This window comes from Homo sapiens, chromosome 8 (genome assembly GCF_000001405.40).
Source record: "Homo sapiens chromosome 8, GRCh38.p14 Primary Assembly".
In the NCBI taxonomy this organism is placed as follows: domain Eukaryota; kingdom Metazoa; phylum Chordata; class Mammalia; order Primates; family Hominidae; genus Homo; species Homo sapiens.
The window spans coordinates 102,011,960-102,037,392 of record NC_000008.11 but is presented as its reverse complement, the minus strand read 5'-3'; the positions used below and the strand labels follow the sequence as shown (position 1 = coordinate 102,037,392).

General features: G+C 39.7%; 1 protein-coding gene across 13 annotated transcripts in view; it reads left to right on the top strand.

Moving 5' to 3' along the window:
- NCALD (neurocalcin delta) overlaps positions 1-25,433 on the top strand; it is a 438,366-nt gene that overhangs the window by 87,515 nt on the left and 325,418 nt on the right. For 8 of the 13 annotated variants that reach the window (NM_001040630.2, XM_047422315.1, NM_001040627.2 and 5 more), the window contains exon 2: positions 17,104-17,156. The gene's annotated coding sequence lies outside the window, so the exon portion shown is untranslated. Of the gene's footprint in view, positions 1-8,296; positions 8,384-17,103; positions 17,157-25,433 lie in introns of those variants that run through there. The other 5 variants (NM_001040625.2, NM_001040628.2, XM_047422316.1 and 2 more) reach the window with 2 other exon arrangements.

Here is a 25,433-nt window from a genome sequence, read left to right as displayed (position 1 = left end):
TATAGTATAATTGTATGTTGGTTAAGAGCATGGAATCTGGGCCCTGATTGCCTGAGTTTGAATGAATACTGGCTTAACACTATTTGATTTCATGGCCTTGGGCAAGTTACTTAACTTTTCTATGCCTTTCTTTTATCTCTGTAAAATAGGGACAATAATAGTACTTATCTAATAGAATTATAGTAAAGTTTAAGTAAGTTAATATATTTATAAGTTGCTTAAAATAGAGCCTGCCATTTAATAGTGCCATATAACTGCTTGCTTTTGTTAGTGGTTACGTACAATTCTATCTTCTGAGGGAGATGTAATTTATTTAACTTATCCATTGTTTGATATTTAGGTGTTCCCAATTTTTATTATTACAGATTATACAACGCTTACACATGCTTTTTTGTGTGCCGACTAAAAATTTTTTTCTTTAAGTTACATTCCAGGAAATAAAGCCTCTGGATCAAAATATATTAATCTTTTTCAAATTTCTGTTACTTTTTTGGCAAATTAATCTTATAAAATGTTGACCAATTTGTACTTCCACCTGTGGTATTGAGTGTCTGTTTCCCCTTATCCTCATGTGTCAAGGCAATGGTAGTATCTTATATTTTATATTTTTTTGTTGTTGTTGTTGTTTTTTGAGATATCACCCAGGCTGGAGTGCAGTGGCATGATCTCAGCTCACTGCTGCCTCTGCCTCCAGGGTTTAAGGGATTCTCTTGCCTCAGCCTCCTGAATAGCTGGGATTACAGGTATGCACCACCACGCCCAGCTAATTTTTGTATTTTTAGTAGAAATGGGGTTTCACCATGTTAGCCAAGCTGGTCTCAAACTCCTGACCTCAGGTGATCCTCCCGCCTCAGCCTCCCAAAGTGCTGGGATTACAGGCGTGAGCCACCATACCCGGCCTCTTATGTTGTTTTGATTGGCATTTCTTTGATTGCAAACTAGATGTGTATTTTTCCATATGTTTAGCAGTTTACATTTATTCTTTATAAATTATTGCTTCCTGAACTTTACTTATTTTTACTTTTCTCTTTTAAGTGAAAAAAGATATATATAGTGATATATATATTAAGTATTATTTATTTATTTTTTTTCTGTCACCCAGTCTGGAGTGCAGTGGTTAGATCTCAGGACACTGCACACTGCAGCCTCAAACTCCTGGGCTCAATGATCCTCCTGCCTCAGCCCCCTGAGTAGCTGGGACTACAGGTGGGCATGATTACACCTGGCTAATTTAATTAATTAATTAATTTATTTATTTATTTATTTTTGTAGAGATGGGCCTTGTTATGTTGACCAGACTGGTTTTGAACTCCTGGCCTCAAGCAGTCCTCCTACCTTAGCCTCCCAAAGTGCTGGGATTACAGGTGTGAGCCACCATTCCTGACCAGCTTCTGATCTTCTACTAGAGATATTTTGTCACAGTCTCTGTGTTCTTCAAACTGTTTAGTATTATTATTAGGCTATGTTTCTATAGCGACAATATAATTTTGTGATATAAGTAACATATGCAGTTAGTTGGGGAAAGGGTTGCCATGAATGTCACTAGAAATGCTGCAAGAACATGACTATGTCCTGCCTCTGCAACTTCAGAAATCATTTTGAATGAGGAGGCTTTTGCGAATGAAATTTTGGTGAAAATTTTTATCTTTGCAATTGTGGTAAATATTGTGACTACCTGGGAGAGAATCTTTTGGTTCATTAAAGAGACAAGTAGTTACCTAATGAGAAACTGTCAGTAATCTCATGGACATGTGGAAGAATATTCATTTTTAATACCCTAGTCAAGCAGAGGGCTTCAGGAACAAACGCTGATTCACTGTTTTAATTAGTTCCTGGATTCTACTGCCTTTCTCTGGACTATGGAGACCTCTGGCTACATAGTACACTGTTGCTGAGTGTTGGATCTCAACAGAAGTTGATATTCTTTGTGTTTTCTGATTTTCTCCATGTGAATCATTGTCTCATGGCAGGCTAAAACAAGTGTGATAAAAATATGTTTTTAAAATAACATAAAAACATTTAAACTTTGGAAGAGGGAGGGAATGTGTTCTGTTCTGGAAAATAGACCAATATCAATGGGTAAAAGGTCACCATTTTGGGTTAATATAAGGAAGAGCTTTGTTATTACAGGAAGAGTCCACCCATAGCATGGCTCACCTTTTTGAAGCAGTCACCGAGATTCTTCCAGCAGAGACCAGGTGATCAAAAAGTACATTACTGAATTTAAGAGGAAAAAGGTGGGGCCCATGCACTGGGCGAGACCTTGCACTAGATTACTTCTAATATCGTTTTCAACTCTTGGAGATTCTACACTTACGTGAGTTTTTAAAAACCATGTGCGTACTTATCTGAAGTAGTCAAATTCATAGAAATAGGAAATAGGATGGTGGTTACCAGGGGCTAAGGGCAGGGGGAAAAGGGATGTTGTTGTTTATTGGGTATAGACTTTCAGATTTGCAAGATGAAGAAGTTCTAGAGGGTTGTTACACAACAATGTGAATACAATGAACACTACTGTGCACTTATAAATGTGCCTACTATGAGGTTAGCCCTAGGCCAAGCACTGTAGGGGACGCGTACGTTTAAGACAGTCCCTGCTTTCAGTTGTGTCACGGTCCACTTCTGCTATTAAATCAAGGATCCTGAGCAGCAGCCCAGAAGCCCACGCTAGCCAACCATGATGTCATCACTGCCACTGCCATTGAAGGCACTGCCAGAAGCCCAAAGAAACAAAAACACTCCTCCCTTCTTCCGGTCTTACAATTTCCTGCTAGTGCCCCCATGACACAGCCCAATAAGAAGCCAATTGGTGAGTTATTCTGAGAAATGTGTCATGCTGCTTTCTTTCCCCATCACTATAGAGGAAGGTATAAGGATGAATATGAATTTGTGTTGGCGATACACTGTTAGGCACAGTCCACCCCTTTGTCTCTTTTTCATCCATACACAGCCCTCCACCCATATATAAACTTGATAAAGCAACAACAGCAACATTATAATGCTTCTGTTGATGCAATTATCCCTTGCACAAATGAAGGCATGCTCACTAGTTCCCTGATAAGGGGGATAAGAAGTGCCATTAGTTGGTGCATTTACATTTATATGTTGATGATGTTAATTCCCCTTACAGGTTAATCAAAATCTCATTTATCATGTAACTTAAAAGACTAAATTGTAAAGTTAACCACCTAGTTTGTAGTTAACTTATGTGACACACTCCTTGTATAACAGACACACTTGGGGAAAGGAAAAAGGGGAGAGTGAGTTCTATATACAAATCTGTACAAGGAAGAAAATACACATAGTTGCTATAGCCCTTACTTCTGTAACTGATCACAAAGCTGCGTGTGTGTGTGTGTGTGTGTGTGTGTGTGTGTATTTAGAGGGAGGAGAGAGAGAGCAAGAAAGAAAGAGAAAGAGCTAGGATTTACATTTATATATATCTATATCTATATGTCTTCTTTCTTCCCGTATCAACTCCCATATGCTTTTCTCTTTAATCCCTTGGTTGGTGAGGATTCTTTTTCTGAAGGGCTGATGCAAATCTTTACTCCTGAAAAGTCTGTGTCCTTAGACATCCCTCCTTTGTTGGTGTAGTGAAATCTTTTATTAACTTTACTACTGGATATGGAAGTAATAAGGCACCCCAGAGAATCCTCTGGATTACAGACATCTTTCTTAATGCCTCCATTATCCAGCAACAATCTTATTTTAGCTTAGTAATTGGGACCCCAGTTAGTGCAGTAGAACAATTTTTGTTTGTACAATGGCTTAAGGAGTCTGAATGACCAAGTAGTAATCTCAAATTTTAGTTCAGTGGAACCATTCTTGTTTCTGCTGCTGACTTTTATTTTCTTGGAAATGAATAACTTTAAACCAGCAGAGCCCAAAATCTTAGGCACAGGTAGCAAAATTTTGTGACTAGCTTATTAGGCATAATAGTTAGAATAGACTATCCCATTTTAATTTTTGATTCTCTGACCCATGTATTATAGATATGGGAGGAATACCACTCTCTAGGGGTTGTTGATTCAAAGCATGTACTACATCCTGTAAGATATAGTTCCATAAGCTTTCAAGAGGTTATCTCTCAGTTAGTGACAATTGAGCCTTCAGTAGGTGATTCCATCATTCTACCAGGTTAGCTGCTTCTGGATGATGGAGTATATGGCAGGACTAGAGAATTCCGTGGCTGCAAGTCAATTGCTGCACTTATTTTGTTGTGAAATTAGCGCCTTGATCAGAAGTGATGTCTTGAGGGGTGCCACAATGGTAAATAAGGCATTTTCTAAGTATGTTATCGGTGGTACTTACAAAAGGCAAACCCATATCCACAGGAAATGTTTATTTCCCTAAGAACAAATCTTTGCCCACTTCATACTGGAAAGAATCCAGTGTAATTCACGCACCATAGCATGACTAACTAGTCCACCTGGACTCATTGCTGGCCCCTGCTGTTCGCAGGGTGAACACACAGTAATGGTGCTAGCCAGATTCACTTGGTGAGCCTACACATAGACTCATTGATTACTGTCATGACCACTCAGAAGATAAGTCCATGGAGAAGTTACTAGGGTGGCTGGGAAGAACTGGCTGGCTGACATCCTCAGAATATGTTATCTTGTCCCCCTGATTATTGACAGCCTTCTCTGCAGTGGACGTCCTTTTGTGAGCATGCACATGAGATACAAATATTTCCCACTCATTGCCCCTTCTAAGAGGTCATCCATCTGCCTATTCCTCAGTCCTCTTTTTTTTTTTTTTTTTTTTAGCAGTTTTTCTATTCTGTTCTTTCCAAGTCGATGACCATCTGGCCAAATCATTATCCATTATGTATGAGTTAGTATAGATTTGTACTTCTGGCCATCTTTCAGTCTAGCCAAAACAGATATCCAGATGTGTTATGAAGTTCTGCCAACTGGGAGGATTTTCTCTCTACGCTATCTTTCAGGGCCATCCCTGAGTGGATATACAACAGCTTAGTTCTAGCTGTTGCTGCTATACAATGGAGTATCATATGCAAAACATATCCAAGTCTTTTTTTTCGCTATCATCATCTGGTTACAGGGAACTCCTTTTGAAGCCGTAAGTGTGGTTTGAGAGAGAGGAAGCAATGTATCAGGAGTAGGTGGCCGTAGGAATCTGAGCCATCAAATCATATGGCTTACTTGTATCCATAGGACTTGCTACAGACCCATCTTATACACCACTTCCACTTGGTGACGGAGTGTGACTTCACTTAGCTGATTTTATGGTTTGGTGGATTAAATGATGACCAGTTAGTTTATGGTGGGCAGCTCAGCTCATATGGTCATCAAGTGTCCTAGGGCAGGAGTTCTGTCTCCACAAGAGCCTGAGAATATACTTTCAAGGGGAAAAATCAGCAGCTGTTACTCAGAGAGAGAAAATTAGCAGAAGAGGCTGGTTTTGCTCCAAAACTCTAGTACTCTAAGCCATGATTCTTACATAGGGCTTACTCTAGGCTTGTACACAATCCCCTTTTGTACATGGGGAAATGAACTACACCTCCAGGGATCACAGGGAGATCAGAGGCCACGGAGTTCTATGATTAATGAACATCTTTCCTTTCATGTTTTCATACTCAAATCCTATTTATTCCTAGCTAACTTTTTTCTAATATTGATCATAGCAATTTATTGAATATATTTTTGCTCACCTTCCTTCAATAGGAATTATTATTGCCTTATTTACCTGTTATACTTCTGAAAACGATCAGATTTTTCACGTTTTCAAGGAGCCTGATGGAGATATTTTTCTTTACTCTTTTTAAATCAAACTACATCATTATAAAATAAAACACAGATATAACCTCCACTGCACATCAAATATGTAGCATCATGAATTAGCATAAGGCAAACTCATTTGTAACTACCGTTCAGGCCAGGAAAGAGAACTTCACCAGCCTCCCTAGAAGTCTCTTCTGTGTGACCTATCTCCATCATAACCCCCTTCACTTCATAAATAACCATTACCTGGACTTTTATATCAGTTGCCCAGCTATGCATCTCTAGGTACTATAGCTTAGTTCTGCTCATTTAATGAACGTTGGTATACCTTTCTTTTAATTTGTACCTTCCTGCTCCATCCCTTTATTTTTCCTTATCGTTTATCTGTGGATGAACCCAGCCTTGTGACTTGTAGAGTTTCTCATAGACTAGATTTTGCTGATTGCAATCTTACGGTACATTTCATTGTGTTCCTCTGTATTTCCTGCAGCATGGTGGCTGGAATTTGAGGTTTGATCAAACTCAGGTGCAATTCCTTTGGCAAGATTATAGGTGTGTTTTTACATCAGGAAGCACATAACATTTGTGTTGTTTGTCTTTTTGTAATATTAACAATGGTTAATGCTTAGATTCATTTAGTTATTGGGGTTTCTAAGGTCATGATATTCCATTTTGACTTTTTTTTTTTATCATTTATCACTTGGGATACAAAGAATTGCTCCCCTTTATCTACTTTATATTTTATTTATTTATTTATTTATTTATTTTTTGTGATGGAGTCTCACTCTGTTGCCCAGGCTGGAGTGCAGTGGTGTGATCGTGGCTCACTACAACCTCCACCTCGTGGGTTCAAGTGATTCTCATGCCTCAGCCTCCCAAGTAGCTGGGATTACAGGCGTGCACCACCACATCCAGCTAATTTTTGTATTTTTAGTAGAGATGGGGTTTTGCCATGTTGGCCAGGCTTGTCTTGAATTCCTGACCTCAAGTGATCCGCCCAACTCCGAAAGTGCTGGGATTACAGGCATGAGCCACTGTGCCCAGCCCCTTATTTACTTTTTGGTTACCCAGTGATGTAGTTCATACAGAGAGACAAGATAAATATTTGATTCTTTTTATCGACCACGTTTCAAAATAATAAGTTGGTTCTGTTTCATCCTCCAAAGGTTTATATACATACATGAACTTGTGGACTTAAGCATTTTTAATGGGTTCCATTTAATTGCAGTTATCTTTCTGAAAGCTCAAATTATTACATCTTTGACCAGTGGAAGCCTTTGAAAGTTGGCTTCTGTTTGTTTTTTCCTGGATGTTATTCTTGGATGTTCTTTGTGGATATAAAACTCTTGTGAACTGAAAAATCAAGAACTACTTCTCCAGCTCAGGCCTTTCTCTGATTCATTCATGGCCTTAAATGACCAGGGAATATGTTTTGAAGAGTGGGGCACACCCTCTATAGAAAGGGAATACATGGTTTCTGTTTACAAATATTGCTGGCTTTGTCTTTAGAGACCAGAACGCTGGCTTCCTGTTGAACCATTCTCCTCTGGAAATGAGATTGCCTCACCAGTGTTGTTCACCTTTTCCGGAAAGATCTGATATTAATAGTTTTCTCTAGAATAACTTATTCTTTTAGGAGGCATGTGCTCTTGTCTAGACAAGTATCTGGAATAAAACTGAAAATAGTTGAAAACCCGCCTTTTAACATTTTCCCCTGAAATTTTCTATGCAACCCAGTAAAGATCTATAAATAAACTTTAGGAATAATATAATTAATCTTATTAAATGTGAGAGTGCTTCAGGCTTCTTTGAGAGCAGTAGAAGGACTTGCATTAAAGCGAGCTGTGCCTTCAAAATGTAATTTCTCGTCCTGACCGCAAGCTTATCACATCCCTCCCCTTTTAGTGACCTGCTTTTCCTTCAGCTCGAATGCTGTGTTTTTGGTTTTCACCTCTAGCTTGGATAGTTCTGAACATTTTAACTCTCTCATTTTTGTTACTGTGACAGCGACTTTATGGAAATAGGGCTGTGAAGGTTTTTATGATGAAACGTTGACAGGAGAAATAATACTTGGCCCAGCACATGAAACAGAATCACCCACAAGAAAGAATAAAGGCGATTTTGAAAAGCTTATGACATCAATGTCTGTGACAATTTCTTTTGGCTTATAGCATTCATGTTTGCAGGCTAGGTAATATCGATTTTCACTTATGAGTTCTATTGTAGAAGACCCTTCCCTCTGTAAAAGATCTGATTCTCTGGCTTTCAGTCTTTTGCCTGACATTCAAGGCCCGCCACAGACTTATTCCTGTCCTCCCCAAAAACACTTAGTGACTTCCTGTTGCCTGTTGGATTAAGTATACACTTTTCACTGTGATTCCATTTTTACCTCTCCAGGCCCATTTCCCTGTCTTTCCTATGGACATCTCTTCAGATCAGCTATTTTAGTTGCCTCCACTTCCTGGTACACCCTACATTTTACTACTTTGGTCTTTGCTCACACAGTTTCTTCTATCCAGAATGACTTTCTCTTCTATCTCTATCTGCAGAGATCCTATCATTATTTTAAAATTCCTCCTCCTCCACGAAGTCCTTCCTGATTCCTTCAAAGAAATATCACTCCTCCGAATTCCCAGGTAATGTCTTCTTGACAGTTTCTTTATATTATTTTGTTATGTGGTTAGCTGTTGTTGCTATTATTTATGTGTTTGTCACCACTCTGGGGTGACAACCATACATCCAAATTTTCCTGGGACACTCCCAGTTTATACCTGTTGTCTCAGCACCTTGTCTGGCTAGTACCCCCCTTTACTCTCAAAATTATCTTGGTTTGGGCAATGAATTAAATGGTCACCTTTGGAATAAATGACCAGAAGGTTGGGGCTGCATCATACTCATCTTTTACTTTCTGGTCACTTAGCACAAGGAGCAGTGTAATTCACATATGGCGGGCAAAGGAATTAGTAGAAAAGAGACTGGCTTGTGTTGGGGCAGGGACCACTTTGCCTGGGTCATCAGGAAATGCTAACCAGATTAGTTTTGATTCCTCCCAGAGATAGTCTTCCTAATGGCACTGCCCAGGGGCTATTATTTTCCCATCAGAAGGTTGGGTTCCCCAAGGGTTTGATAAACAATCCTTTCCAACATGAAGGCTGCAGGCATTGTTTCCCCCTCAGTGGCTAGTGCATTTAGAGCTTCAAAGGAGTATACTTGGGCATTGTGTAGAATATTTAGTTCACATGTGAAAGAGGCTTGCTTTATTTATTTGCATTCCTTTTTATTTAAAAAATTAACCTACAGAAAAGTTGATAGAAAATAGTACGTAGTCATACTCTCTTCATTTTGCTACATTTGCTTTCTTTCTCTTGCTTTCTTCCTGTATATACACATAGACTCAAGTTTGTGTTTAAGTAAGATGTATGCATAACTGTTCATATTCGTTTCCTGACCCACTTGAATATAGACTGAGGATATCATGATACTTCACCCTTGAATACTTCTACATGCTCCTCAAAATAAGGACATTTTTCTGTGTAAACAGTATCATTATTACACCTAAGATAATAATTTCACAGAATCATCTCAAATATAGTCCATATTCAAATTTCCTCAAACTTGTTTGGGATCCAGAATCCAAATCTTATCTTGAATTACAGTTCCCATAATCCCTTTGTGTCAGGTAATTGAATCATGGGGGCAATTACCCCCATGCTGCTGGTCTTTGGATAGTGAGTGAGTTCTCACAAGATCTGATGAATTTATCAGGGGCTTTTCCCACCTTTTGCTCATACTTCCCCTTCCTGCCACTGTGCGAAGAAGGGTGTGTTTGCTTCCACTTCTACCATGATTGTAAATTTCCTGAGTCCTCCCCAGCCCTGCATAACTGTGAGTCAATTAAACCTCTTTCCTTTCTAAATTACCTGGTTCAGATATGTCCTTACAGCACCATGAGAATCAACTAATACAGTAAATTTGTTCTGGGTGTAGGGCGCTGCTGTAAAGATACCCAAAAATGAGGGAACCACTTTGGAAATGGGTAACAGGTAGAGGTTGGAACAGTTTGGAGGGCTCAGAAGATAGGAAGATATGGAAGTTTGAAACTTCCTAGAGACTTGTTGAATGGCTTTAACCAAAATGCTGATAGTGATATAAACAATGAAGTCCAGGCTGAAGTGGTCTCAAATGGAGATGGGGAACTGGTTGGGAACTGAAGTAAAGGTCATTCTTGCTATGTAAAGAAACTGGCGGCATTTTGCCCCGTCCCAGAGATCTGTGGAACTTTGAACTTGAGAGAGATGATATAGGGTATCTGGCAGAAGAAATTTCTAAGTGGCAAAGTGTTCCAGAGGAAACAGATCATAAAAATTTGGAAAATTTGCAGCCTGATGCTGCAATAGAAAAGAACTATTTTCTGGGAAGAAATTCAAGGCTGCTGCAGAAATTCGCATAAGTAACGAGGAGCTGAATGTTAATCACCAAGACAATGGGGAAATGTCTCCATGGCATGTCAGAGACCTTCACAGCAGCCCCTGCCATCAAAGGCCTGGATGCCTAGGAGGGAAAAATGGTTTTGTGGGCCAAGCCCAGGGCCTCCCTGCCCTGTGCAGCCTTGGGACATAGTGCCCTGTATCTCAGCTGCTTCAGCTCCAGCCATGGCTAAAAGGAGCCAACGTACAGCTCAGACTGTTGTTTCAGAGGGTGGAAGCCCCAGGCCTTGGCAGCTTTCATGTGGTATTGGGCCTTTGGGTGCACAGAAGTCAAGAATTGTGGTTTGGGAACCTCTGCCTAGATTTCAGAGGATGTATGGAAATGCCTGGATCTCCAGGCAGAAGTTTACTGCTGGGGCAGAGCCCTCATGGAGAACCTTTGTTAGGGCAGTGCAGAAGGGAAATGTGGGGTCAGAGCCTCCACTGGGGCACTGCCTAGTGGAGCTGTGAGAAGAGAGCCACCATTCTTCAGACCTTAGAATAGTATGTCCACTGACAGCTTGCACTGTGTGCCTGAAAAAGCCACAGGCACTCAACACCAGCCTGTGAAGGAAGCTGACAGGGTGGCTGTACCCTGCAAAGCTACAGATGTGGAGCTGTCCAAGGCCATGGGAGCCCACCTCTTGCATCAGCATGACCTGGATGTGAGACATGGAGTCAAGGGAGATTATTTTGGAGCTTTAAAATTTAATTACTGCCTTGTTAGATTTCAGACTTGCATGGGGCCTGTAACCACTTTGTTTTGGCCAATTTCTCCCATTTGGAATGGGTGCATTTACCCAATTCCTGTACCTCTATTGTATCTAGGAAGTAATAACTTGCTTTTGATTTTACAGGCTCATAGGTGGAAGGAACTTGCCTTGTCTCAGATGAGACTTTGGACTTGGACTTTTGGGTTAATGCTAGAATGAATTGAGACTTTTGGGTACTGTTGGAAAGGAATAATTGTGTTTTGAATTGTGAGGACATGAGATTTGGGAAGGGCCAGGGGCAGAATGATATATGGTTTGGCTGTGTCCCCACCTAAATCTCATCTTGAACTGTAGTTCCCATGTGTTGTAGGTGGGATCTGGTGGGAGGCAACTGAATCATTGATGCAGTTACCCTCAGTGAGTGAGTTCTTACAATATCTGATGGTTTTATAAGGGACTTTCCCTGCTTTTGCTCATACTTCTCCTTCCTGCTGCTGTGTGAAGAAGGATGTGTTTGCTTCCCCTACCATGATTGTAAGTTTCCTGAAGCCTCCCCAGCCCTGTGGAAATGTGAGTCAATTAAACCTCTTTTCTTTATAAATTACCTAGTCTCAAGTATGTCCTTATAGCAGTGTCAGAATGGACTAATACACTGCTGTCCTTGTGGCACCCTCCAAAATGTATACCTGTAGACATACGTTCCTCCTCTGCACACCTTTTGTTATACTTAAGGATCCACATGCCTCAAAGATATAACATGATTTTTGCCCACGAGGAGTTTGTAGTCTAGTAGAAAAAAGAATAAGATGGAAATGCGTTATATATCATGGGTGCTCCAATTTAATTCTGTTCAGGGCACAGCTGAGTTGCAAGGGAGGCAGTGGACTTTTCTACCTGCATGGCTGGGGAGAACAGAATATTATGTACAGAAGGAGTAAGGCTGGAGCTACCACTCATTGATTTTTAAACTTTTATTGAGTACTAGGCACTGTGCTAGAGTCTGGGGATGAACTTTGAACCTGAACCATCTGTACTTCACAGAAGTGAGTATTCATTGTGGGTGATGAGCTTTGAAGTCATAACCTCAATATTAAATATATAACCATCAGTTGTGATAAATGCAATGAAGGAAAAGAATAGTGAACTGCAGAGCATGTAGCAAAGACCAAATTTCCTTCTGGGGTGGGCATCATGGGAGGTCTCACTGAGAGAGTCACATTGACCTTAAGCCAAATAATGAACCTGAAGAATGAGTTCAAGTTAGGTGAATGAAGAGTAGCTAGCGAGGGGCCTCCATGTTGAAATGTCTCCACTGAGGAAGGAAGCAGAACCTATAGAGGGCTGGCACAGCTAGAGCCGAGCCTAGGAGGAGGGTAGTGTCAGGTTGAGAGAGAGGCAGGGGACAGGTCATACAGGGCCCAAGGAAGAAGTTTTCCTCTTGAAAAAGACATAATGGTTACATGGGCTCTTTTGGAGTTGGGATGGGGAGCAATTGGTTTGTTAGGACATGGAGAACAAAGTATCCTGATAATTGGAAAACAAAGCAACTTGACAAGGCTGGAATATGGGGTGTGAGGGAGGACATTGTGTTGAATTTTGAGTTCTTCTTAGAAGCAGCAGGGAGCCACTGAAGGGTGAGTATGATCAGAGGGGTGATGTATCAAAAGTGTATTTGAGAAAGAGAAATCTTAAAGATGAACGAATTACTTGAAGATGCTGAAGGCTGGAGGATCTTGCAGTTGTCCAATAGGTAGAGGACGAAGGCTTAATTAAGGCAATGGAAATGGGGTGGAGACCAGAAGACAAAGTTCCTCAGTAGGCACTATCTACAGGATTTGGTTATTGATGAGAGGAGGAGAAAGTGGAGTATTAAATGGTGTTCAGGCTCCTGGCTATGTGATGAGTGGAAACGGATAGCAAGAGAAGGAATTGTTTTGGACAATCGATGGTGTTTTGATTTGCCCCTGATAAGTGCCCTTGATAAGTTTGATTTATACCCAGTAAATGGTAAGGGAGATCCAGCCTGATGTTACATAAGCAACTGATTAGTTCATGTTTCCTGGGCTTGAAGAAGTTCTCTCTGAATATTTTTGATCTATTAACATGGTATTTATTAAGCAAGTTGGAAGCATGCAAACTATTTATAAAGGAGTACTTGCATTTTACAACTGACAGATTGCTTTATTCGGAATTACTCATGACAGGCTTTTTTGTGTGTGTTTGAGAGACATTTGACTTTGCCACAGTTTTGAAAATATGGTATTTCTGGTATGTTTATATTGTGGGTTGTCAAAAACAGTTAAATATTACAATTAGGTTTGCTGTGTTCTGTTTTTTTCCCATTCAGTTACGCATGAAATATACAAGTACAACATCTGGCATTCTTCTTTATAAGAACTCTGGCAAAAGAGCAACAAGGATTAGATTCAGCACTTGTCAAATCATCCAATTGTAATATTTTCATCTAGAGTTGAATCTGAAGCTGGGTGAAACTGCCATGTAAAGAGGAGTTCTGTGTAATGTCACAGAGGGGCCACTTAGGAGAATTCCTTTTATGGTTGGGGCATTCTTGAGATGCCTGGAATAGCCCATTTGTATCCTATCATTGAGACGGAAACACAGCTAGGACGGGTCAAGGCACCACGATGACAAGATCCACACAACACTTCTTTTCTGTTATTTGTCAGACTAGAGCCCTGGTTGGCTGATAATGGCAGACCTTCCTTCTTTACTTCATTTTTCTATGGCAAATCCTTGGTCTCGGAACTGGAAAGCCCCTTTCCTAGCTTGAAGGCCATATATTCTTAGAACTGGAAGGGACCTCAATAACTGTTTTAATCCAAATCCCTGGCACTTTTGCAGATGAGAAAAATGAGACAGAGAGTTTACACAATTTGGTCAAGGTCAATATACCAAATTCCCTGCCCCTGCTAGATTCCCCCTTGGGAATGGGCAGCCTCTCTCCTCCTTTTATTTTTGTTTATTTATTTGTCTTTGCCAGAAATCAAAGAGTCTTCATTCACTTTGTAAAAATCATCTGACTCATTTGAAAGAAAAAAAGAGATGTTTTTCTCTGAAAACTTATTTTTGTTTTATTCTAAATGAGTTTTCGTTCTAAACCCAGTGTGATTCCTCTCTATTCTAAGAGTGCTTTCACGGCACAGTATGACATCTCTCTAATGGCCAGTGTTGCCTAGTTGGGCTTCAGTATAATGGTTACAGCAAAACCCTCTGTGCTTTGGAGCATAGCATCATCTCTAAATTCAGGAAAGAACAGATGCTAGAAACTGTGGTCAGCGTCACTGCCTGGGCCTTCAGGGCGGGTGATGCTTGGAACTTCTTTAGAAGCAGCTATTTATTCAAATGAAATTTTTGAAAGGATCTTTGATTTTTGAAATGACAAATCTCATACCTTGGCTCTAGGACCAAGCACCCCATGACTTGAGAGTGCTGATGGGACTTGGTTGCCACTGAAGGGAGGGTGTGAGATGGGGTGGGTGATACCTGGAGCACTGGCCCAGTCAAGGGAAAGAATGAGAGTTCTAAAAATGAGTTGTGAGGGGGAAAGAGGACAAGAACACATGTGGTGCTTACCATTTACTGGCTTGGATGGGGGCAAATGGATTCACTGGAAGCCTCTTTCTCGGGAACCACAATGACTACACAGTTCTACCTTTCTCTCCATACCTTCTTCCAGCAGAAAAGAATGGTTTTTGGTCTGGATGTGTGGGAAGGGTGGTAAGTATTGCTCTAGTTCATCATGTTGATTATGTTCTGAGACTCTAAGGGCTTGGCTTAGAAAGTCAAAGCCTTTGCTTTGCTCCTGCTGGAACCTGTTTTCTGTAAGGTAGTGGACACTGCAGGAACCTGTTTCTGAAAAGAAAAGGATCTGGAGGATGAGACCAGAGGGGACACCTCAATACTAGCTCAAAACAGAATCCCCCTACATTTTAAGAGCTCAATTAGAGAAAAACAGGGTCTGTATAGTGCAGTGTTCTCAATCTGAACCATTTCCAAGAACTGCAAGAGAGTGCAGTCATCTGAGCTAAGCACATGGAATGATGAAAAATTGCATCCTGGTGGGTTTTCCTCAAGTATTTGGAATAAACATAAATCTCTTCTTGCTATTGCAAAGCTTAATGCTTTACTGAAATGATCATAGAATACTGGATTATTCAGTTCTGTGGGGACTCAGAGATGATCTGTGCTGGGGAGTCTCCATTTGTTCTTTCAGACCCACCCTCCCCCTTTTCCATACTGTTCTGGATCCAGGGAGGCTGGTCTCCATGGATCCCATCAATGGGCTCCCCGACCTCTGGTTTCTATTTGGATTTGGCCAATGGGAGGCACCTGCATCACCACCTCTTGGTGGTTCCCTTAACCCTGTTCACGCCCTGTAAATAGTCCCCTGCACTGAAGCTCCAATTTGAGTGTATCATCTCTTTTCTGCTGGGACCCTGTACAAATACATCATCTAATTCTGTATGTCCATTTTACAGATGAGGAAACTGAGTCACAGAGAGGGCTATGGCTTTTCCGGTTGTGTCTCTTTCCTCCTCATGTTCCCAGACATGGTTGAGTATTTCCAACCTGAGATCCTGAGTCCTAGAGTGCTGGATGGGGATTAGGAGACCTCTGGCACTCCCATCCTCTCTACTTCAATGTGACGGCTCATGCCTAAGAAACTTCTATGTATCAAAAAACTGTGTCCTTAAAAATGGTATTTTAATAGGACAAAAAAGTAGTTAGGGAGAAGAGTCTCTGCTGGGAGTACACTGTCATTCACCGGGCTAGTGGAAGGTCAGAAAGTGTCTCTTCCACCATGGTGGAGGCACCTGGTGCCAGGGCGTGGCTAGAGGCCTATGGGCTGATTGACCCCCACCCACCTCAGCCTGGTACCCTGTTAATACTGTGGTTCTGGATGTGAATACGTAAGCCAATTTATTTCACTTATACCTTTATATTTTCCTTTTTTATGGGCATCATACAAATCCAAAAATGTCCAATAGAGCTCTTTTAATATGTATAAAATAAAAATTTTAAGTCTTAGCATTGTATCACACTATAATGTGCCATTTCTTTCTTTATAATTGGTATATAAAATAGTATTGTTTCTACAATGAGTGAGTCCTGATTAATGAAATATGGTAGGAAGCTTATTAAATTATCAATATGAATCAAAAGATGAATTGGAAAGCTAAGGACTGAGGATAGCTCTATTAATTCTTTTGCTCAATAAATATTTATTAAACTTCTTCTGTGAGACCAGTCCTGGTCTAGGCATTGAGGATCCAGCTGTGAAAGACACAGACATGATCTGTGAACTTACAGGGAAGACAAGAAATACTGAATGTATATTTGTATATATGATGTTACAAAAGAAAAAATGCAGTGTTCTTTGGGAGTGTTAATAAATGAGCTTAAGATGGTCAAGTGTAGCAGATGACTTGACTGGAGGAGCAACACTTAAGTGGAGAATGGAAGGACAAGTAGGAGTTAGTCAGGTGGAGGTGAGTGGGGAAGGAAGAAAGGTGGTCCTGGCCAAGGGAGCAGTGTGTATGAACGCTGGGAGCTGGCAAGGGGTGAGGAGGAACTGAAGGAAGTGTGAAGTAGCTGGAGCTCAGGCAATGGTACAGAGATGAGAGATGAGGCTAGAAAAGTAGGCAGATGTTAAATGATGAAGTGCCTTAGATGTCATGGCAAGGAGTTTGGCTTTTATCCACAGGGAAGAGAAAGTTGTGGAAGGGGTTCCAGGAGAAGAATGTTATGCTTAGATTTTAGAATGATCACTCTGACTACTGTGCAAAACTGAAGTGCTGTATATCACAGTCAGATGAAGCAAGCATGGTAGTAGTCATACTCACTTGATTAGTGGGATTGAAGTGGGATAAGCGGACAATAGCAAATGATACAAGGGAATCCTGGAGCAAGCAATAATCCCCATCACTGATTGCATTCTGCAGATATTATATTCCGATTTTAGAAACAATCAGAACCAATGTAGAACCAATAATAAAGAAATAGTGGCATATTAAAGTGTGATACAATGCTAAGACTTAAAATTTGTATTTTATGTATATTAACAGATCTATAAATACATCTATTAGATGTATTTAGACTTTTTAATTATTCTTCCTAGTTCCTGATAAGCTAAGACAATACTTTTATTTTTGACAGAGTGATTTCTTCTGACTTGAGCCTGCAGTGTGCTGTGAGAGATCTACCACTAGGTAAGTATAGAACAAGTTTTTCTTAGGTTTGTAAACAACACTTTTCTTCCAAGATTCCCTAAGACATACATAAGCCTAACATTCTATGTAATCCTCATTTTAGCCTTATGAGTCTTATTTCCATCTTATACATGAGGAAATTGAGGCACTGGCAACTTGACATGCACAAAAATGTTCATCACAGCATACATTATGATAGTAAAATAATACAAAATGAAAAGGAGAGAATATAAATATCCAACACTAGGCAAATTGTATTAAATTAATTATGGTACATTCATTTGATGGAAGTAGTTTTAAAATATTCATTATCACCTTAAGATGTTCTCTTCTATTCCTAGTTTGCTAAAAGTCTCTATTATAAATACATGTTGAATTTTATTAAATGCTTTTCTATATCCACTGAGATGATCAAATGATTTTTATGCTTTCATTTGTTAATTTTAGTTTACATTAATGGATTTTCTAATGTTAAGCTACCTTGCATTGCTGAGATAAAACCAACTTCGTAATGATGTGTTATCTTTTCTATACTTAGCTAGATTTAATTTGCTAAGTTTTAGTCATAAATGAGATTGACTAAAATCTTTCTGCGATATTCCTTGTCAGGAATGGTTTTCAAAATACTGGAATTACTTGCTACTTAAATGTATGGTGGAACTTGACAGTAAAACAGTTTGGGCCAGATGTTTTCTTTGAGGAAAGAAATTTTACTAACTGATTTAGTTTCTGATTTATTTAGGTTTTCTATTTCTTCTTGAGTCAGTTTTGTTATGTTTTTAGTTACATATACGTATTTCTGTTGAATACATATGCAGGAGGGGAATTTCTGGATCATAAGGCAGGCATATGTTCAGCTTTAGTAGATACTATCAAACAGTTTTCAAAAATGGTGTATCAATTTAAAAATTTATGCCACAATCAGGAGTGTATGAGGGTTCTAATTAGTCCACATATTTTCCAAAACAAGGTGTTTTCTGTTTTTGTTTTTTTAGTTAAGCTCTTCTGGTGGGTATGTAGTAACATCATATTGTTTAAATTTGCATTTCCTTATAGACTAATGAGGTGGGGCACCATTTCATATATTAATTGGCCATTTGGGTATCTTATTTTGTGAGAAGCCCCTTCAGGTCTTAAAAATGTGAAAAAATTGGGTTGTTTTAAAAATTAAATTGTCTTTCTTATTGAGTTGTAGGCATTTTTAATAATATATATTTTAGATATATCCTTGGTAGGATGTATGTGTTACAAATATCTTCTCTTTTTCTGTGGTTTACCTTTTTACTCTTTTTTATGAACAGAAGTTCATTATTTTATGAATTTCATATATTATTTTACCTTTACATTTCAATCTATAATATGTCTGGAATTGATTTCATTGTACATGGTGTGAAGTACAAGGTCAAAGTTAATTTTTTTCCACGTGAAGATCCAGTTGACCAAGCACCATTCTTTTGCCATAGCACTATGTGTCTATTTTGGTTAGGGTTACTGAGGTATGATTAACACATGGTAAAATTCATTCTCTTAAAATACATGGTTTGATGCATTTTGAAAAATGTATGTAATCATTGTTTTACCTCACAATCAAGAGGTAGAATGTATCTAACACTTGAAAGTGTGCACCTTTATAGTAAATCTACTCCCTCTACCTCTAGCCCTTGACAACCACAATCTGGATGTGGCTCTCTGGTTTCTCTTTTTTCCAGAATATATAAATGGCCTCACATACTACGTGGCCTTTGTTTCAGATTTTTTCACTTGGCGCATTTTTTTTGAGATTCATCCATGCTGTTATAAGTATCAGTGGTTAGTTCCTTTGTATTGTTGAGTAGAAGAATTCCATTGTGTGGTATACCACAAGTTTATCCATTCCCCAAATGATGAAGATTTGGGTTGTTTATAGTATTTAGCTACTAGGAATAAAGCTGCTACAAACATTCATGAACAGGCCTTTGTGTGGACATATGTTTTCCTTTCTCTTGGGTAAATTACTAGGAGTGGGATTATTGTATCATATGGAAAGCATAGCAAGTATATGTTAAACACTATTTTTAAAAATCCCCCAAACTGTTTCCAAAATGACTGTGCCATTTTACATTCCAATCAGCAATATATGAAAGTTTCAGTTGTTCCACAGCTCCTCTAGCACTTGGTATTATCATTGTTTGTAATTTTAGCAATTTGAGCGTATAACATTATCTCATCGTAGCTTTAATTTTCATTTCCCTAATGACATTGAACACCTTTTCATGTCCTACTTTGCCATCTGCGTATCTTCTTTGATAAAGTGTCTGTTCAAATCATTCACCCATTTAAAAATTATTTGTCTTAATGATATGTAGCTAATTAGAATATATTCTGGATACAAACTCTTTATTAAATATGTGCTTTGCAAATACTTTTTCTCAGTCTCTAGTTTGTTTCTTTAAAAGTCCTAAAAGTCTCATTCAAAGAGTAGAAAGTTTTACATTTTGGTGAATTTCAGTTTATCAATTTTTAAAAATGGAAGAGTACTTTGTTTTGTTTTGTTTTGTTTTTTGAGACGGAGTCTTGCTCTGTCACCCAGGCTGGAGTGCAGTGGTGCTATCTTGGCTCACTGCAACCTCCGCCTCCCAGATTCAAGCAATTCTCCTGCGTCAGCCTCCCGAGTAGCTGGGACTGCAGGTGCCCACCACCACACCCGGCTAATTTTTGCATTTTTAGTGGAGACAGGGCTGGTCTCAAACACCTGACCTCAGGTGATCCACCCACCTTGGCCTCCCAAAGTGCTGGTATTATAGGCGTGAGCCACCGCGCTCAGCCTGGAAGAGTAGTTTTAAGTACTATTTAGGAAATCTTTGCTAAAATGAAGGATGCAAAGATTTTCTTATTTTTTTTTTTAGAAATTTTAAAGCTTTAAGCTTTATATTTAGTTTTATGATCCATTTTGAGGTAATTTTTATGTCTTTTGTGAGATAAGGGTCAAGAATAACTTTTTATATGGATGTCTAAATTTTTGAGCATCACATATTGAAAAAGCTACTCTTTTCCCATTTTAATTACTTTGACACCTCTATCTTTCTCTCCCCTGTTTGGTACTCCAATTATACGCATATTAGACCATTTTATACTGTTTGACAGCTCTTGCATGATCTTTTTGTTAAAAAAATTCTTTCTCTTTCGATTTCAATTTGGATAAAATTTCTATTAATCTATCTTTAAGTTTGTTTATTTTCTATAGTTTCTCTCTCTCATCTAAGATCCTTTATCTTTTCTTGCATTTTATCTTCCTTTTCCATGAGAGCCTTTAACATATTAATCATGGCTATTTTAAAGTCTCTGATTGTTCTCACATCCAGGCCATCTCTCTTTCCAGCTCTGTTGATTGCTTTATTTTGACAATGAGGTGAGGGTTTTTTTGTTTTTGTTTTTGCTTTTTTGAGTGTCTTGTAATTTTGATTGCATGTTGGACAGTGTTTGTAGAAGAGCAGTAGATAATAAAGTAAATAATATTGTTACTCAGAATTGGGTATATTTTTTCTTCTGTAAGATTGTTGATATGAAGGGTTGAGTCAATCTTATTAGTAGTTAACAAGATTGGTAATTAGTATTGAGTTTGGATGGAGTTGAATTTGTGATTGCCATAGTTACCTTCAGTGTAACAGACTCCAAAGTTCTCCAGTGGTGGACTGCAGTGACCTTATGCTTGGCATGCCAGAGGGTTTTTCTCCATGTCTAAGCTCCATCCTCAGTTTTCAGCAAACTCTTCATCCTTGCTCCACAAAGGGGACCTCTTTCTTCATGTTTGTGCTCGTCTGCTAGCAGTAGATTGCTCTTGTTCATTGTACTAGGCAGAGCTGTGGTAGTGGTGGTGAGTTCTCAGTTCACCTGGGCTAGCCTCAGTCTTAGGTAGGCCTTATGTTTCTGGGCCTTGGGAGTGGGGCTTTGTTAGTGTTCCTGCTTCTCTTCAAGGCAGCCAACCTTTGCCTTGTATCTGTGGAGTGTTTTGTGTGGGAGAGAGTTTCTTGCCCCTCCCTTACTGGTAACAGACCTCTTATTTGTGTCAGCACAGGATCCTGGACCTGCAAGTTTCTTGTCCTTCCCTTAGGGCAGATGGCAGGCTTTTGCTTGTACCCCTTTCCAAGAATCAGTGGATTTTTGCTTGGACCTTGGGGCTAGGAAGATGTTTTGGTTCTCTACCAGTTGTTGAAAGCTTTTGCTTAATATGAAATGAAGTTTGGGAGGTAGATGGAGTTTCTTGCCTGTGCCCTACTAAAAGGAGAACTCCCCAGTCTCCAGCCCCACCCTTCTTCTTTTTAATGAGTGTTCATTGCAGAACCCTGGGAACAAGCTTGAGAGAGAGCTGGGGCTCATCTCATGTTTCTGAGGCTCCCAGGGATACTGTCATACTAGCCCACACTTGCCCTTTAGAAATTCATTAACATTTTAGCTGTTTTCTTATTCCTGCTTTCATGATGGCTGCCTCTTCCTACTATGCCCTGCCAAAGGGGACAGTTTGTGTGACCCCTTTCTCCTTGGAAGGGCATGCCACTCTTGGTAAACTCAGTTCACTTCGTTGCCTTGTGTCCTTAGCTCTCTAATGAGTTCAATACAAGTATTATTTTGTTGATTATGAAGCTTTTCTTGTTGTTAGGATGAGAGTGATGTTCTCTGTGGTTTTCTGTATCTTACATGGATGTAGAACTGTGTTGCAACTTTTTAAGAGTCACTGGCTTAAAGGAAAATTTTGGTTGTAAATACAATTGCCAGTCAAAAATGAATGGAAACCAAATCAAAAGAAGGCAATAAAACCACAATCTAAAACTTAATAGGAAAACTGAGAGGACTTTAATTTTATTCTTTTCTTGGGTTGGCTGTGTTGGGCATTTTTCTTTGTTCCTTTGCAGGAAATACATGGCTACAATGGCAGGAATGTTGCAATAGAATAGCTTTATTCTGAGGTCTGGGGTAAGGGGGAGAGGAAGATTGGCTTCTCCCTGCCATAAATACCTTCAAGATAGGGTGATGAGAAAGAGAGAAAAATGAAAAAAAATACAAAAATGAGACAGTAGAATGGGCATTCTGGAGAAGTTTGCAGCTTCTCAGAAGAGGAGTACACAATGAAAGATCTTAAAGAAGGACTACTGATGTCTATGGGTCGAGAAGTACATCATTCTAATTCCACAACTTATTGATTTCCTAGCCATCTCGGGAGCATCACCTCAACTTTCAGCTTGCTTATATTAACCATGTACACCCTTGGTATTCAAAGGGTGGTCCAGGGGCCAGCAGCATCTGCACCCACTGAGATCTTGTTAGAAATGGAGAATCACAGGTCCCATCTCAGACCTGATGAATCAGAATCTGCATTTGAACAAGATCCCCGAGTAATTCTTGTGTACTAGAATGTCTAGAATGCACTAGATGCAGTGTTTTATGTAATCATGGCTTCTGTGTTTTTTTGCAGTCGACTTTGTATTTAATGAGATTAAAAACTTTCAAAGTCAAAATATTGTGAAGGTAACTCTACTGTAAGGAAAACCTGGTGGGGTGGGGGGTATAGTGCACAGAATTAAGGCATTTAAATGCATTTTCTAGTTAAATTATCAATTTAGTTGAACAATTATCATTGATATGCTTATTTAAAACTTATTACTTTTCAACTTTTTTTTTTGAGCTCTGTGCTCCTAGCATTTAAAAACATTAACTCTTTCTTGTAGCAGGGAATTTTCTGGTGCTTTCTCTCATAAAGAGATTTCTTTTTAGACCTATTGCTGTGATGGGAACATTTGTATACCCCCCAGAATTCATATGTTGAAACCCAACCCCCAAAGAGATGGTTTTAAGAGGGAGAGCCTTTGGGAGGTGATTAGATCATGAAAGTGGGGCCCTCATGAATGGAATTCATGCCCTAATAAAAGAAACCTATGGGAATTTTGCCCCTTCCATCATGTGAGGACATAGCAGGAAGGCACCATTCTATAAATCAGGAATAGGACCCTCACCAGATTCCGAATCTGCTGGCACTTTGATCTGAGACTTCCCAGCCTCCAGAACTGTGAGCAATAAATGTTGCTTATAAGCCATGCAGTCTATGGTATTTTATTATAGCAGCCCAAATGGACAGAGACTCACATGAAGCCTGCTTCCTAGGGCAATTCTGCCCTCTCCATATTGGTCTCAGATTAAGAAACAGGTTCCTGCATGAAGTTGCTATTGATGCTTCAAAAACCTGGCCCACAGGGTCATAGCAAGGACCCATTCCTCTGACAAGCTTCTTGCCAAGAGCTCTCAACTTTTTAATCTTCCTGACTTTGAGTATCTTGTTATTCAGTGAAGGGAGTGTGCTGCCAAAATTCTAGTTTTCTCAAATCTTGATAAAGGTTAATTTTACATTTATCCAAATTCTTAAGCTGTTCTCTTTCCTTTAATTCCATAGAAAATGCTAGCCGTGATTTCTGGATTAAAGCACCTGCTCTCCTTTTGTCTTTCCTTTTGTTTTTGGACTCAGGTATTTTAAACTCATTCCTTTCCCCACTTAGTGAGAGACATGAAGTCAAAACATCTGGCAACATCATTAATTTTTTTTTTAACATATCTTGTTCAATTTGGGACCATTACATATGTGTTCCAAGCAGGTAGCCAGAGAAGGGCACGAGGTCATGCCTCCCAGTGGAGTCAGCCCAGGTAAAGAGTTGTTCTGGTTGCCCTGGCCAGTGAATTCCAGCACAATCTCAATGGTCACCCTTAGCTGCAAAGGAGGATGAGAAATGTGTCTTTAAGTTGGGCATATTCTTTCTGCTAAATCCATTGGGGCTGGGCTTGCTATGGATGGAGAACTAAATGTAGACATCAGACCAACAGGGAGGTAAAGATTAGCAGTAGGACCAGTGCTGCTGTATTGGAGAATGAGCTTAAATTATGAACAGGTTCATCTACAATGACATCTCCTATTACTTTGATTGCTGAGATCTTCTTTCATGGAAAAGAAAAATATGAGCTGCTGAGACCAGAAATAGAGAAAAGGGGAGGTACCTAGACCACCATGTGCTTATACACTCTCAGGCCAGCAATTCAATTCACTCCCTTGAGGGAGCATGGAGGGATGTAGTGAGGTAGAAGAATCACCTTCTAGTAGTTTCAAGAAGATAAACGTTTTTGTTTTATGTGCCTAGGTAGTAGGAATGTTGAGAAGGAGAGAATGATGCTTCCTCTAATACTTATGTATGTATGTGTGTGAGGGTATATATTTGTGTGTGTGTGTGAGTGTATGTGTGTATATATAAAAATATCTGATTGTTATATATTATTACATATTGTGACAACTGTATTATATTAGTTGCTTTATATGTTTACTCAACTCCTGCTACTAATGACCTTGCAATGTGGTGATCTGCTATGGGAGCTGAGAAAAGGGAAAATTCATGTGTGTTTTGCAGTCCTGAAGCCCTTTTAAAGGAGATGGGCATGAACTGCTTATAGATCTTAAAGAATGGGTAGACTTGTTTCAGGTAAAGAGGAAGGGTGACTCAGGGTAAAGAAACAGCAAGGACCACAGCCACTAGGCCTTCAGCTGTTTCAGAAGCTCACTGCATGATTCATCATTAGATCCCTCTGCATTGCTTCTCAAGAAACAAACAAACAAGCAAATGCAGATGACTGGGCAGTAGCTCCTGTGATTACACATCCCGCTACTCCCCGCACTAGAGGAGTGTTTGAGGCAGGCGCTGTTGGTGTGTAGCAGGCTCTGGCCTCTCCTTACGTCCTTGTCGTCTTTGACTCCTGATGTAATGCTGATTTGGAAACTCTTAGCAATTAGCCCAGCTCCCTACCCAAGGCTCAGCCCGGGAGTTGGAGTTGACAGCTAATTGTTGCCACTGATTGCTTTGCTGACAGTGCTCTGTGGCTATTTTGGTTTTTCTTGAGAGTTCCTTAATTAGAGAAAATGACATCGTGTGCTGTCCAATCAGTTGCTTGTTGGATATTATTACATTTGTAGGAGAATCAGGTGACATTCGGGCTTGTTCCTGCCAAGCTGGTATGAGGTTGATGACCTGCAGCACAGTTTGCTTGGCAGAGCAGTTGTCCCCACAACAGCTGAGACCAGTTTGCCACTGACTTAAGGGAAGAGCATTCTGCATTCCCAGTGTGGACTCAAAGTACCCAGGACTCCTTCGGGGCAATGTCCCATTGAAACTTTACACCTCACAGTGGCCATTGCCTCATTAGAATGTTGACTTTCTTCTCCCTGAAATGAGATATTTCAGGATTCCTTTGATATTTGCCTTTCTGACG